This window comes from Homo sapiens, chromosome 4 (genome assembly GCF_000001405.40).
Source record: "Homo sapiens chromosome 4, GRCh38.p14 Primary Assembly".
Classification (NCBI taxonomy): domain Eukaryota; kingdom Metazoa; phylum Chordata; class Mammalia; order Primates; family Hominidae; genus Homo; species Homo sapiens.
The window spans coordinates 90,396,329-90,409,757 of record NC_000004.12 but is presented as its reverse complement, the minus strand read 5'-3'; the positions used below and the strand labels follow the sequence as shown (position 1 = coordinate 90,409,757).

Genomic DNA, 13,429 nt, shown 5'->3' with positions numbered 1-13,429 from the left:
GTCATTATGATGTTAGCTGCTTATTTTGCTCTTTAGTTGATGCAGTTTCTTCCTAGCCTTGATGGTCTTTAAAATTTAGCATGTTTTTGCAGTGGCTGGTACCAGTTGTTCCTTTCCATGTTTAGTGCTTCCTTCAGGAGCACTTTTAGGGCAGGTCTGGTGGTGACAAAATCTCTCAGCATTTGCTTGTATGTAAAGGATTTTATTTCTCCTTCACTTATGAAGCTTAGTTTGGCTGGATATTAAATTCTGGGTTGAAAATTCTTTTCTTTAAGAATGTTGAATATTGGCCCCCACTCTCTTCTGGCTTGTAGAGTTTCTGCCGAGAGATCAGCTTTTAGTCTGATGGGCTTCCCTTTGTGGGTAACCCGACCTTTCTCTCTGGCTGCCCTTAACATTTTTTCCTTCATTTCCACTTTGGTGAATCTGACAATTATGTTTCTTGGAGTTGCTCTTCTCGAGGATTATCTTTGTGGCGTTCTCTGTATTTCCTGAATTTGAATGTTGGCCTGCCTTGCTAGATTGGGGAAGTTGTCCTGGATAATATCCTGCAGAGTGTTTTCCAACTTGGTTCCATTCTCCCTGTCACTTTCAGGTACACCAATTAGATGTAGATTTGGTCTTTTCACATAGTCCCATATTTCTTGGAGGCTTTGTTTGTTTCTTTTTATTCTTTTTTCTCTAAACTTCTCTTCTCACTTTATTTCATTCATTTTGTCTTCCATCACTGATACCCTTTCTTCCAGTTGATCGCATCAGTTACTGAGGCTTGTGCATTCATCACGTAGTTCTCCTGCTGTGGTTTTCAGCTCCATGAGGTCCTTTAAGGACTTCTCTGCATTGGTTATTCCAGTTATCCATTCATCTAATTTGTTTTCAGTTTTTAACTTCTTTGCCATTTGTTCGAACTTCCTCCTTTAGCTTGGAGTAGTTTGATCTTCTGAAGCCTTCTTCTCTCAACTCATCAAAGTCATTGTCCGTCCAGCTTTGTTCCGTTGCTGGTGAGGAGCTGCATTCCTTTGGAGGAGGAGAGGTGCTCTGATTTTTAGATTTCTGGTTTTTCTGTTCTATTTTTCCCCTATCTTTGTGGTTTTATCTACCTTTGGTCTTTGATGATGGTGACGTACAGATGGGTTGTTGGTGTGGATGTCCTTTCTGTTGGTTAGTTTTCCTTCTAGCAGTCAGGACACTCAGCTGCAGATCTGTTGGAGTTTACTGGAGGTCCACTCCAGACCCTGTTTGCCTCGGTATCAGCAGTGGTGGCTGCAGAACAGTGGATATTGGTGAACCGCAAATGCTGCTGCTTAATCGTTCCTCTGGAAGTTTTGTCTCAGAGGAGTATCCGGCCGTGTGAGGTGTCAGTCCTCCCCTACTGGGGGATGCCTCCCAGTTAGGCTACTCGGGGGTCAGGGACCCACTTGAGGAGGCAGTCTGCCCATTCTCAGATCTCAAGCTGCGTGCTGGGAGAATCACTACTCTCTTCAAAGCTGTCAGACAAGGACATTTAAGTCTGCAGAGGTTATTGCTGTCTTTTGTTTGTCTGTGCCCTGCCCCCATAGGTGGAGCCTACAGAGGCAGGCAGGCCTCCTTGAGCTGGGTGGACTCTACCTAGTTCGAGCTTCCCAGCCGCTCTGTTTAGCTACTCAAGCCTGGGCAATGGCGGGTGCCCCTCCCCCAGCCTTGCTGCTGCCTTGCAGTTTGATCTTAGACTGCTGTGCTAGCAATGAGTGAGGCTCCGTGGACGTAGGACCCTCTGAGCCATGCGCGGGATATAATCTCCTGGTGTGCCGTTTGTTAGGCCCGTTGGAAAAGTGCAGTATTAGGGTAGGAGTGACCCGATTTTCCAGATGCCGTCTGTCACCCCTTTCTTTGACTAGGAAAGGGAATTCCCTGACCCCTTGCACTTCCCAGGTGAGGTAATGCCTCACCCTGCTTCGGCTCATGTAGGGTGCGCCACACCCACTGTCCTGCACCCACTGTCCAGCACTCCCCCGTGAGATGAACCCAGTACCTCAGTTGGAAATGCAGAAATCACCCGTCTTCTGCGTCGCTCACGCTGGGAGCTGTAGACTGCAGCTGTTCCTATTCGGCCATCTTGGCTCCACCTCTGGATCATCTTTTTGATATGATGCTGGATTTAGTTTGCTAGTATTTTTCTGAGAATTTTTGCATCTATGTTCATCAGGGATATTTGTCTGTAGTTTTCTTTTGTTATGTCTTTCCCTGGTTTTGGTATCAGGGTGATACTGGCTTCATAGAATGATTTAAGGAGGATTCCCTCTTTCTCTATCTTTCAGAATAGTGTCAACAGGATTGGGACCAATTCTTCTTTGAATGTCTGATAGAATTCAGTTGTGAATCCATCTGGTCCTAAACTTTTTTTGTTGACAGTTTTTAAATTATCATTTCAAGCTTGCTGCTTATTATTGGTCTGTTCAGAGATTTTATATCCTCCTGGTTTAATCTACGAGGGTCATATATTTCCAGGAATTTATCCATCTCCACTAGTTTATGTGTGTAAAGGTGTTCATGGTAGCTTTGAATAATCTTTTATATTTCTGTGGTATCAGTTGTAATGCCTCCCATTTTGTTTCTAATTGAGATTATTTGGATTTTCTCTCTTCTTTTCTAGGTTAATCTCGCTAATGGTCTATCAATTTTATTTATTTTTTTCGAAGAAAAAGCTTTTTGATTCACTTATCTTTTGTCTTTTTTGTTGTTGTTGTTTCAGTTTCATTTAGTTCTGCTCTGAATTTCATTATTTATTTTCTTCTGCTGGGTGTGTGTTTGGTTTGTTCTTGTTTCTCCAGTTCCGTGAGGTGTGAGCTTAGATTGCCCATTTGTGCTATTTCAGAATTTTTGATGTAGGCATTTAATTCTATGAACTTTCCTCTTAGCACTGCTTTTACTATATCCCAGAGGTTTTGATAGGTTTTATCACTATTATCATTCAGTTCAAATAATTTTTTAAGTTCCATCTTGATATTATTAGTCACCCAATGATCATGCAGAAGCAGGTTATTTAATTTCCATGTATTTGCATGGTTTTGAAGATTCCTTTTGGAGTTGATTTCCAATTTTATTCCACTGTGCTCTGAAGGAATATTTGATATAATTTCGATTTCCTTAAATTTACTGAGACTTGTTTAGTGGCCTGTCTTATGGTCTTGGAGAACGTTCCATGTGCTGATGAATACAACATATATTCTGCAGTTGTTGGGTAGAATGTTCTGTAAATATCTGTTAAGTCTATTTGTTGTAGGGTATAGTTAAGTCCATTGTTTCTTTGCTGACTTTCTGTCTTGATGACCTGCCTAGTGCTGTCAGTGAAGTATTGAAGTCCCCCACCATTATTGTGTTGCCATCTATCTCATTTCTTAGGTCTAATTGTAATTGTTTTCTAAATTTGGGAGCTCCAGTGTTAGGTGCATATATATTTAGAACTGCAATATTTTCCTATTGGACTACTCTTATCATTATATAGTGTCCCTCTTTGCCTTTTTTAACTGCTGTTGCTTTAAAGTTTGCTTTGTCTGGTATAATAATAGCTACTCCTGCTCAATTTTGTTGTCCATTTGCATGGAATATCTTTTTCCACCCCTTTATCTTAAGTTCATGTGAATTCTTACGTGTTAGGTGAGTTTCCTGAAAACAGAACAAACTTGTTTAGTGAATTATTACCCATTCTGCCATTCTGTCTCTTTTCAGTGGAGCATTTAGGCTATTTACATTCAATGTTAATATTGAGACATGAGGTACTATTCTATTCATCATGCTATTTGTTGCCTGCATACTTTTTTTTTTCATTTTGTTACTGTTATATAGGTTCAGTGAGATTTATGCTTTAAGGAGTTTCTCTTTTGGTGTATTTTGAAAATTTGTTTCAAGATTTAGAGCTCCTTTTGGCAGTTCCTGTAGTGCTGGCTTGGTAGTGGCGAATTATTTCAGTGTTTATTTGTCTGGAAAAGACTTTATCTTTCCTTCATTTATGAAGCTTAGTTTTGCTGGAAACAAAATTCTTGTCTGATAATTGTTTTGTTTAAGAAGGCTAAAAATAGAACCCAATCCCTTCTAGCTTGTAAGGTTTCTGCTGAGAAATCTGCTGTTAATCTGATAGGTTTTCATTTATAAGTTCCCTGATGCTTTTGCCTCACAGCTCTTAAAATTATTTCATTCATCTTGACTTTAGGTAACCTGATGACTGTGTGCGTAGGTCATGATGTTTTTGTGATGAATTTCCAAGGTGTTCTTTGAGCTTCTTGAATTTAGATGTATAGGTCTCTAACAAGGCTGGGGAAGTTTTCCTCAGTTATTCCATCAAATACGTTTTCCAAACTTTTAGATATCTCTTCTGCCCCAGGAACACCAATTATTCACAGGTTTGGACATTTAACACAGTGCCAAACTTCTTGGAGGATTTATTTTTATTTTTTAGTTATTTTTTCTTTGTCTTTAATGAATTGGGTTAATTTGAAAGCCTTGTCTTTGAGCTCTGAAGTTCTTTCTTCTGCTTGTTTGATTCTATTGCTGAAGCTTTCCAGGGCATTTTGCATTTCTGTGTGTCCTTCATTTCCAGAAGTTGTGATTATTTTTTATTTATGCTATCTATTTCATTGAAGATTTTTCCTTTCATATCCTGTATCATGTTTTTTATTTCTTTAAGTTGGACTTCACCTTTCTCTGGTGCCTCCTTCATTAGCTTAATAATCGACCTTCTAATTCTTTTTACGGCAATTCAGAGATTTCCTTTTGGTTTGGATCCACTGCTGGTGAGCTGGTATGGTCTTTTGGGAACGTTAAAGAATATTGTTTTTTCATATTACTAGAATTGTTTCTCTGGTTCCTTCTCATTTGAGTAGACTGTGTCAGAGGGAAGATCTGAGACTCATGGACTGCTATTCAGATTCTTTTGTCCCACAGAGTGCTCCCTTGATGTGGTACTCTCCCCCTTCCCCTAGGAATGGGACTTCCTGAGAGCCGAACTGCAGTGATTGTTTTTGCCCATCCAGGTCTAGCCAACCAGCAGAGCTACTGGGCTCTGGGCTGGTTCTGGGCTGAGCCTGCAGAGTCCTGTGATGAGATCCATGTTCAGGTCTTTCAGACCTGGATACTAGCACCTGCTCTGGTGGAGGTAGCAGGGGAGTGAAGTGGACTCTGTGATGGTCCTTGGTTGTGTTTTTGTTTAGTGCACTGGTTTTGTGTTGGTCAGCCTCCAGCCAGGAAGTAACACTTTCAAGAAGGCATCAGCTGCAGTTCTATAGAGAGGATGCAAACTTGCCCTAGGGACACTTGGTTAAGTATTCAGGTTTCTCAGGCCGTGGGAAGGGCCATAGAACACCCAAGAGATTATAACCTTTGTCTTAGGCCACCAGGGAGGGTAGAGAAAGACCACCAGGTGGGGGTAGGGATAGGCATTTCTGAGCTCAGCCTCTCCTTGGGCAGCGGGTCTTGCTGTGACTTTTGTGGGGAATGGGGGTGTGGTTCCCAGACCAGTGGAGTTATATTCCCAGGGGGATTATGGCTGCCTCTGCTGAGTCATATAATTTGCCAGGGAAGCTGGGGAAAGCTGTCAGTCACATGCCTCACCCCACTCCCATGCAGCCCACGGTCTTAAGGGCCTATCTCACTCCCATCGTGTCCCACAACAGCACTGAGTCTATTTTCCAAGCAGCCAGTGACCAGAACTGAGAACTTGCCCCGGACCACGAGCCTCCCATTGAGAAAGCAAGCAGACTCACAGTTTTTTGCCATCTCAGGGAGCCTGTGGCGGTGATCCAATTCCTTCAAAGGTCTGTGGATTCTCTTGGCTTTCCTGGTATGTTCCTGCGGTAGTTCTTGGAGCAAAAGTTCATGATGTGAGTCTCCACACCCTGCTCTGTTCATCCAAGCAGGAGCTACAAGCTAGTCCTTCCTCCCATCTGCAATCTTAATCTTGTCTTCTGTGGTCTTTTAAAAAGTCAATCTTGGCCATTATAGTAAGCCCTACTATAAACTACCATAATAAGACTCTGTAGCCAAAAATTCATATGCATTGTCTTTAAGAAGTATTTTTTCAACCCCTTTAATGATTTTCAGTAATATAAGCAGTGGAATATAATGATATCATTATTTCACTTTTCAGACTTTTGAAAATCGCTGTTCTTTTATTAAAAACATCATTTTTGAATGTTTAATGCTGTGATTTTTATCAATATCAATTATCAATCATAAGCTTCTTATAATCTGAGGTCTTTTTTCTTTTTTTTTTTTTTTTTTTTTTGAGACGGAGTCTCGCTCTGTCGCCCAGGCTGGAGTGCAGTGGCGGGATCTTGGCTCACTGCAAGCTCCGCCTCCCGGGTTCACGCCATTCTCCTGCCTCAGCCTCCCAAGTAGCTGGGACTACAGGCGCCCGCCACTACGCCCGGCTAATTTTTTGTATTTTTAGTAGAGACGGGGTTTCACCGTTTTAGCCGGGATGGTCTCGATCTCCTGACCTCGTGATCCACCCGCCTCAGCCTCCCAAAGTGCTGGGATTACAGGCGTGAGCCACCGCGCCCGGCCTAATCTGAGGTCTTTAATTATGTTGCTTAATAAATAAAATAAATTGTATAAAACCAATTCAACTGGAAATAATTCTTTCTCAGCTAAAGTATATAAACGTGTTTGCTGCTTTTTAAAAACCACACAACATGGCATCTAAAATGAAATAGATTTTCAAAAGACAGTTTATTAAGTGACATTAAACAATCCAAAGTCACTCTAAGTAATATTTTATCTATTAGAATTGCACTTCATGTATGCAAACTAATACCATTTATCTTGTGAACAATTTATATGACTCAGTTGATTCATCAGGTACCCTGGTTTGAGCTTTAACTAAGCAACCTACACCTTAAAGTAGACTCAAGAGATTCATTGTAAAAATTATTTCATTTTTATTTAAAATAAATTAATGAAGTACACAGTACCATTATTACTTCGTAAAGGAGAGACTAAAGTTTAAAGAGGTTGATTTTGTCCCCAAGTAAACACACTGAAATAAGTCTTCAGATATTTAAATCATTATTTTCTCGTCATTGTGGTTGACTACCAAACATAATTGAGACTGCTATGTTAACTGTAGTGTTTTCTAATTGTTGCTTTGTTTTATTTTTTACAATGAAAATCTTCAAAAAATATACAAAATAGAGAGAATATTATAATTAATTCATGAACTTTTCACCCCATGCAACTCTTGCCCGGCTTTGACAATTTTTAAGAATTTGTCTACTTTGTTTCATCTATTTCCTTACTCATACTTGTTGGTAAAGCAAAGCCTATATACGATATTGGTACCACCACATTTATCTCTATAAAAAGTTTTCCTGAAAAAAACTAAACAAAACAAAATACCATTTCAACACCCAATAAAATTAACTATAATTCTGCAGTAACAGTCAATCCTCTAATTTCTCTGATTAACTCAGAAACAACTTTATAGAAAAAGTTTATATATTTCAGATAAGTATACCAACAAGAATGTCAATTGCATTTGCCTCTTTTAACCTACAACTCCAACTCCTCCTATTTTATCATGCCATTTATCTTTTGAAGAAACCAGACCATTTATCTTGCAGAATCTCCAAATCCTATATTTGGTTGCCCACAATCTTTTTATGACATTTAACATTTTCCCTCCACCCATTCCAATAATTCCTATAAAATCAAAGTTTGAACTATTTGAATGGATTATTTCTTCTGGGACGGGGATAGGAAGGGGTGAGAGGACACGAACACTTCAGAGGTTGTGCTGTTGTACTTCAGTCAGCATTGCATCAAGAGGGGCAAACTATATATTCATTACACTTTTTGTGATGTTAGAGAATTGATCAGTGGGTTTGGTTTTGGTATTCCCTATCTAATCCATCCTTGAAAAGAAAAGTTCTCTATCAACAATACATCCTTACAATCGGGTGGCCATGGTGACTCAAACTTGTAATCCCTGCACTTTGGGAGACGGAGGCAAGTGGATCTTTTGAGCCTAAGAGTTCAAGACCAGCCTGGGCAACATGGTGAAACCCTGTCTCTACTAAAATACAAAAATTGGATGTGGTGGCATGCATTTGCAGTCCCAGCTACTTGGGAGGCTGAGATGGGAGATTTACTTGAGCCCAGGAGGCGGAAGTTGTGGTGAGCTGAGATCACGCCACTGGACTCCAGCCTGGGCAACAGAGCCAGACCTTGTTTCAAACAAAACAAAACAAAAACAAATAATATATCCTTACAATAATGCCATAGCAGATTTGGATACTGTCCTCCTCCTTTTTAATGACTGTTCGGTAAACCATTGTATATTCAACAAGTATCCTATTGATGAGCATTTCAGGTGCTTCCAATATTTTTCCATTATAAATATTTTGCAGTGAATAATTATATGCATGTACTATTTTGTCTTTTGCCAGTATCATAGAATTAGATATCTAGAAGTTAAGTTGTTGGATCTAAGTTGTAAAAACCATCTGCATAAAAGTGTGAAAATCTACATTTTTAGAAGGATATCTGTCAAATCAACTACAGGAAAAATGTCCCAAGAAATTTTTATCATAAAGTGGTATTCAACCGAAAAAATTTTAAATGCAGTTTCTTGTTTGGTATTAGCCTAAAATAGAGTGTAAGAAAATATCAACATTGTTATTGCCTTCTTTTGACAATTGATAATATGATATTATCTATTATCCAAATATACTACATAAATGAAAATTCATCATAAAGTTTTACAACTAAAAATAACTACAGAGGTTATGTCTAATTTCCACGAATTAAAAATAAAGACACTACCATATAAGAGACTGATTTTCTTAAATGTATGCAGTAGGTCCCAACGTTCTAAAGCTTTAGTTTAATGCTATATCCACTTGAAAATGACTATGTTAAAGACATTATTAGCAACAAAAAAATTAAGTGTAAATGTTTACTTTTGCTGTCAAATATCTAAATTTGAATGGACGACCAATAATTCCTATAACCAACTTTAAAGAGAGTAATTCTGGAATTTGGAGACATAATATTTTATGCTTTAATATAAATTTAAGCCATTACAAATATATCAGGCTCCCTCAAGTCATTCAACAAAAACTTATTTACCTCCTCTCTAACTCTATGTGTGTGTATATGTTTATGAGTGTGCATTTGTGACTGCTACTGGTAATTAGTACTTTTGAGATCAACCTTATTGCATCAACATTAACCTATGTAGGAAGTGGCTAAGATTTGGAGCAGTAAATCTTAGATCCACAAAACTTCCATTTGGTTATATAAAATAAATGAAAAGTGAGATTATAATTATTGCTTTCTTCCACAAAACAGAAGAAAATATTAAACTTTTTGTTAATTATTTAACTAGAATATTTCCTATTTTGGAAAGATTTTTTTATAGTTTTTCTTATTTATAATTATCTTCCAACAGGATTTATATTTCCATAAAAGGCTTTAAAATCATTTAACGCACCCAAATTATGTCTCCATGGTACCTAGCATGTTCTTTGCATATAGACTATAAAAACTGAGGCCTGAAAAGATAGAAGGCAGCCTTAACAGTGTTTAGGCTATCAGTGAAAGCTACTGACCAGGGTAGGAGTTGTATGATATTATTCATCTCTTTAACACTTACCAGAAGGGTGAAGACTCTGTTCCTCTAAAAATTCAAGATCAAGCATTAGATCATCTTCATCCAGTTCACAAGATCCCAAATTATTCAAAACATCCTGAAGAAAAATCAAAACCAACAATTAGAAACCAAAACACTGAGTAAATGAGGAAATACTCATATGTGGAAGCCGTGAAGCAAAAATGAATTCCAAATCAGAATGAAAAGTTTTAACTGAGTCTCAGAAATCATTTGACACCTATGGGCTTTAAAATTATCAGTCCAATAAAAAATTCCAAGACTTATTCTAAAACCTCTTAACTTTTCCAATTATCTGCACATTCATTTTTTTTCTTTTTTAATGATATTTATGTAACTTATAATTAAATGGAAGTACATATGGGCAGATATGAAAGATATTAGAAGTCAGGAAATGATTTCTTGATATGAGAAATACAGGTAAGTGTTTATTTGAATAAAAACTTCTTTAGTGATATTAAAAAGGAATTTGCTCACTGCAAACACATAAAAAGTATATACACATTTTTCAAATAGAAGTCTGTGAAATGAAACTCCAGTTACTTTTTCTAATATTTATATTTCAAATGTAGGTAACATTCTTCTAACACATTTAATGAATTGTTTTTCAAACAAATTTTGTATATTGTGACAACTGTGAAATATTAATTTAGACCATGCTTGGAAGTGAAAATTTGGCTACCATTTGCCAATTATTTGTTTTACATCAGGAAGAATGGGCAGGAAAACAATCTATATTAATTCGATTAAAATTAATTATTGACTTGCATTATACCATAATATATCAGAGCTGAGATTATGTTTCCTATTTTATTTTCAAGAGGGCAAATAGCAAAATAAACTAGAAGGCTACACTGAGAAGTCTTGAGAAGAGATGGTAATGTGCTGAAGTGCACAGGCAGGAATTGCTGAAGAAGGAATAAAGTCCTGATTTGTATATTTGTATATATATAAATGGGTGATAAGTATATTAAGAAAAGTAAGAACTTATTAGAGACTAACAATGAAATAACAAATGTACAGAAAAATAGAACATCAAAGACATCAAAAAAACAGCCTAAATACTAAATGGTGGCATGCCATCTCAGGTCACTTTTCAGCTAATTCGAATGTTAGCATAATTTGTAGTTAAAGTAGTATTCATTACGGAAAGCTAATAATATTTTCAAATAGACAGTGAACACTTTAGTCCTTGGGTTTAAAAGTAAGGACACTGGGGCTTTTAAATAAACCTCTTTAACAATTCAAATTAAACATTATTAAACTTTAAAAACACGTGGGATCCATGAATAGTGCACATACCATGGTTTGAAAGGTGATAAGTATACCCAAATCTAAGTGCTTCTTTCTCCAAACGAAGGTAATGAATAACTTAAACTATAAATAAAATCACTTGTTTATTGGAAGCTCTGTTCCATACAGTGTCAGCGATAGTCCAATAAGAATAAACTACTTATCTATATACATTTAAAAATGAGAAAATATAGGCAGCAAAAGATAAGCTGTCGTACTAAAAATGCAAAACAGAAAATTAAAACAACAACAACAAAACATAATTGAAGTTGTGGAAAAGGAAAAGCTTTTTAAAGGGAGAATTTTGTGAAGACACTGATGTGAGTGTTTATCAAACACACTATCCAAATGAGAGACTCTTAACCTGGTAGTTAATAATATATTAGTCAAAATACATTTTATAGTGAAAGGATACTAATTTATCCAATTTCTAATTGGGGTAAATAATTTTACACTTGGATTTTGAATTCATGGGATTTAATTGTATCCTTCCAAAATTTATAAAAAATCCTAACCCCCAGTACCTTAGAATATGACTGCATTTGGAGACAGAGCCCTGAAAGAGACAATAAAGGTTAAACAAGCTCATATGGATGGGCACTCCAATGGGACTGGTGTTCTTATAAGAATAGATTAGGACACAGACAGCACACACAGAGAGTGATGAAGACACAGAGATGTGATGAACCATGTGAATTCACAGAGGGAGGGAAGATAGGTCATTTGCAAGCCAAGGAGAGAGGCCTCAGGAGAAACCAAACTTGCCATCACCTTGATCTTGGACTTCCAGCTTCCAGAACTGTGAGAAAACAAATTTCTGTTGTTTAAGCCACCCAGTCTGTAGTATTTTGTTATGGCAGCCCTGGCAAACCAATACAACCAACAAGACTTAGAAAGCAGTGAAGGACAGAACAAAGGAAATAAATGAATGCAAAGCACATAACTACCATTTTTTATTATACCAAGTGAGGACATCTTAGACATTGTAAACTTCTAGAAAAAGATTTTCACAGCATTCCTCCTTTTTAATTGGAACCACCCTACCCAATCCATCTAGCTATAAAGGGAGCTACCAGATTCTTATATGAGCCAAACTCCTTCTCCTTGGTGAACGGTCCAAGATGGACATCTTAACCAAACTTGGTGACCAAAGCCCCATCCCAGAAATGAAAAAAAGTCTCTGTCTGGTGATACATACTGCAAGATGCAAAACACTGTCATCACAGGGGCTATGGATTTAATTGTGTAGTCAAGACCAGTCTAAGCCTACTTGAAAAATTAAAAAATGTCATAGGTAGGTCATGTTGTTCCTGTTTCCAGCAGTTCCTGAGATCCAGAGGCATACATGATGTTTTCAAGGTGGTTGTTCAATCCTTTTTTGAATTCTGACAGTTAATACATTCACCCACAATTTGAAATAAAATTTTAAAATATTTTATTTTTTGAACAGGGAAATATTAAAATCTCTGCCACTGCTATTCTAACATTTCACATAAGACAGCAACACCAATAAAGTGAACAAACTAAATTTGGAAAATTCACGACATTGTTCTCATTTTATTTTCCTTTTGCAGGTAACACTTGACACTTGGACTAGCAGGGTTCCATTTGCCACTGGTCTAGATGAATTGCTTCCTAAATCTACTTATTCTAAATTGCCTTCCTTTGATATTGTGCTTACAAAGCAACTTTCTTGTTACTGTAGAGGAGAATCTTTGAAGCTGGTGAAACTTCATAATAAAATAACAGTAGATGCAGCAACATGATATGTTACAGAAAATAATCAATGGTGAATTCATAAACCTAAAAACATCTTTTCCAGATCTCTCCCTAAAAGACACCAATAGCAGCAACAGTCACCAATAGCAGCAACAGTCCTTTTGCCGACAGCTAGCACTGATATTGGTCAGTCCTAGCAGCTGGATACTTGCTGACTAATATCTATTAATAAATAATGCTAATAAAAATCAAGGTCCTTTACTTATCAGAGAAAGGGAAAAGAAAGAAAGAAAGAAAGAAAAGAAGAAAGACATAAAACAATGTTTCTGGGACAATCATTTTGTTGCCGAGAAAACAAAATTCACCTAAGAAAAAAATTAGTGGCTGTTTTCAAAAGCTAGATAAGGAAAGCAACTTAGATGGCTTCTCCCTAGGTAATCTCTGGCAATATGAGCATGAAAAAAAAGTAATCAGTATGACTAAATAGAATAATTTGAGACTGTTGAAGGTTAGCTTTTTTCTAGAAAAGAAAAAATGAAGGATATAAAAAGGTACTACTAATTTAAAAAATACAAATTGAGTAGAAAATTGTTAATTTATATTGGTTTTACAGTTTATATATGGGTATTTTGTTTTTCTTATTATACTTATGTTTATAAAATGTAGTCATGTATTTCCTTCTGTCTGTATAGCCAAGGATCTGTAAGTAAACCAGTAGTACCAAAAGTAGTACTGTACTAGGAATAGAAAAAACTGTTTAGCACCAATGGTCAC

The 13,429-nt window shown here is 37.0% G+C and overlaps 1 protein-coding gene across 35 annotated transcripts in view; it reads right to left on the bottom strand.

The window, feature by feature from the left end:
* CCSER1 (coiled-coil serine rich protein 1) overlaps positions 1-13,429 on the bottom strand; it is a 1,477,902-nt gene that overhangs the window by 1,195,538 nt on the left and 268,935 nt on the right. For 26 of the 35 annotated variants that reach the window (XR_001741218.2, XR_938733.3, XR_938734.3 and 23 more), the window contains exons 4-5: positions 9,629-9,722; positions 5,739-5,834 (exon numbers count right to left, since the gene is read on the bottom strand). Coding sequence is in view for 30 of the 35 variants with exons in the window: in XM_011531936.2 (XP_011530238.1) it covers positions 5,739-5,834; positions 9,629-9,722 (190 nt within the window). In the remaining 5 variants the exon portion in view is untranslated. The remainder of the gene's footprint in view (positions 1-5,738; positions 5,835-9,628; positions 9,723-13,429) is intronic. The other 9 variants (XR_007057924.1, NM_001145065.2, XM_047415679.1 and 6 more) reach the window with 1 other exon arrangement.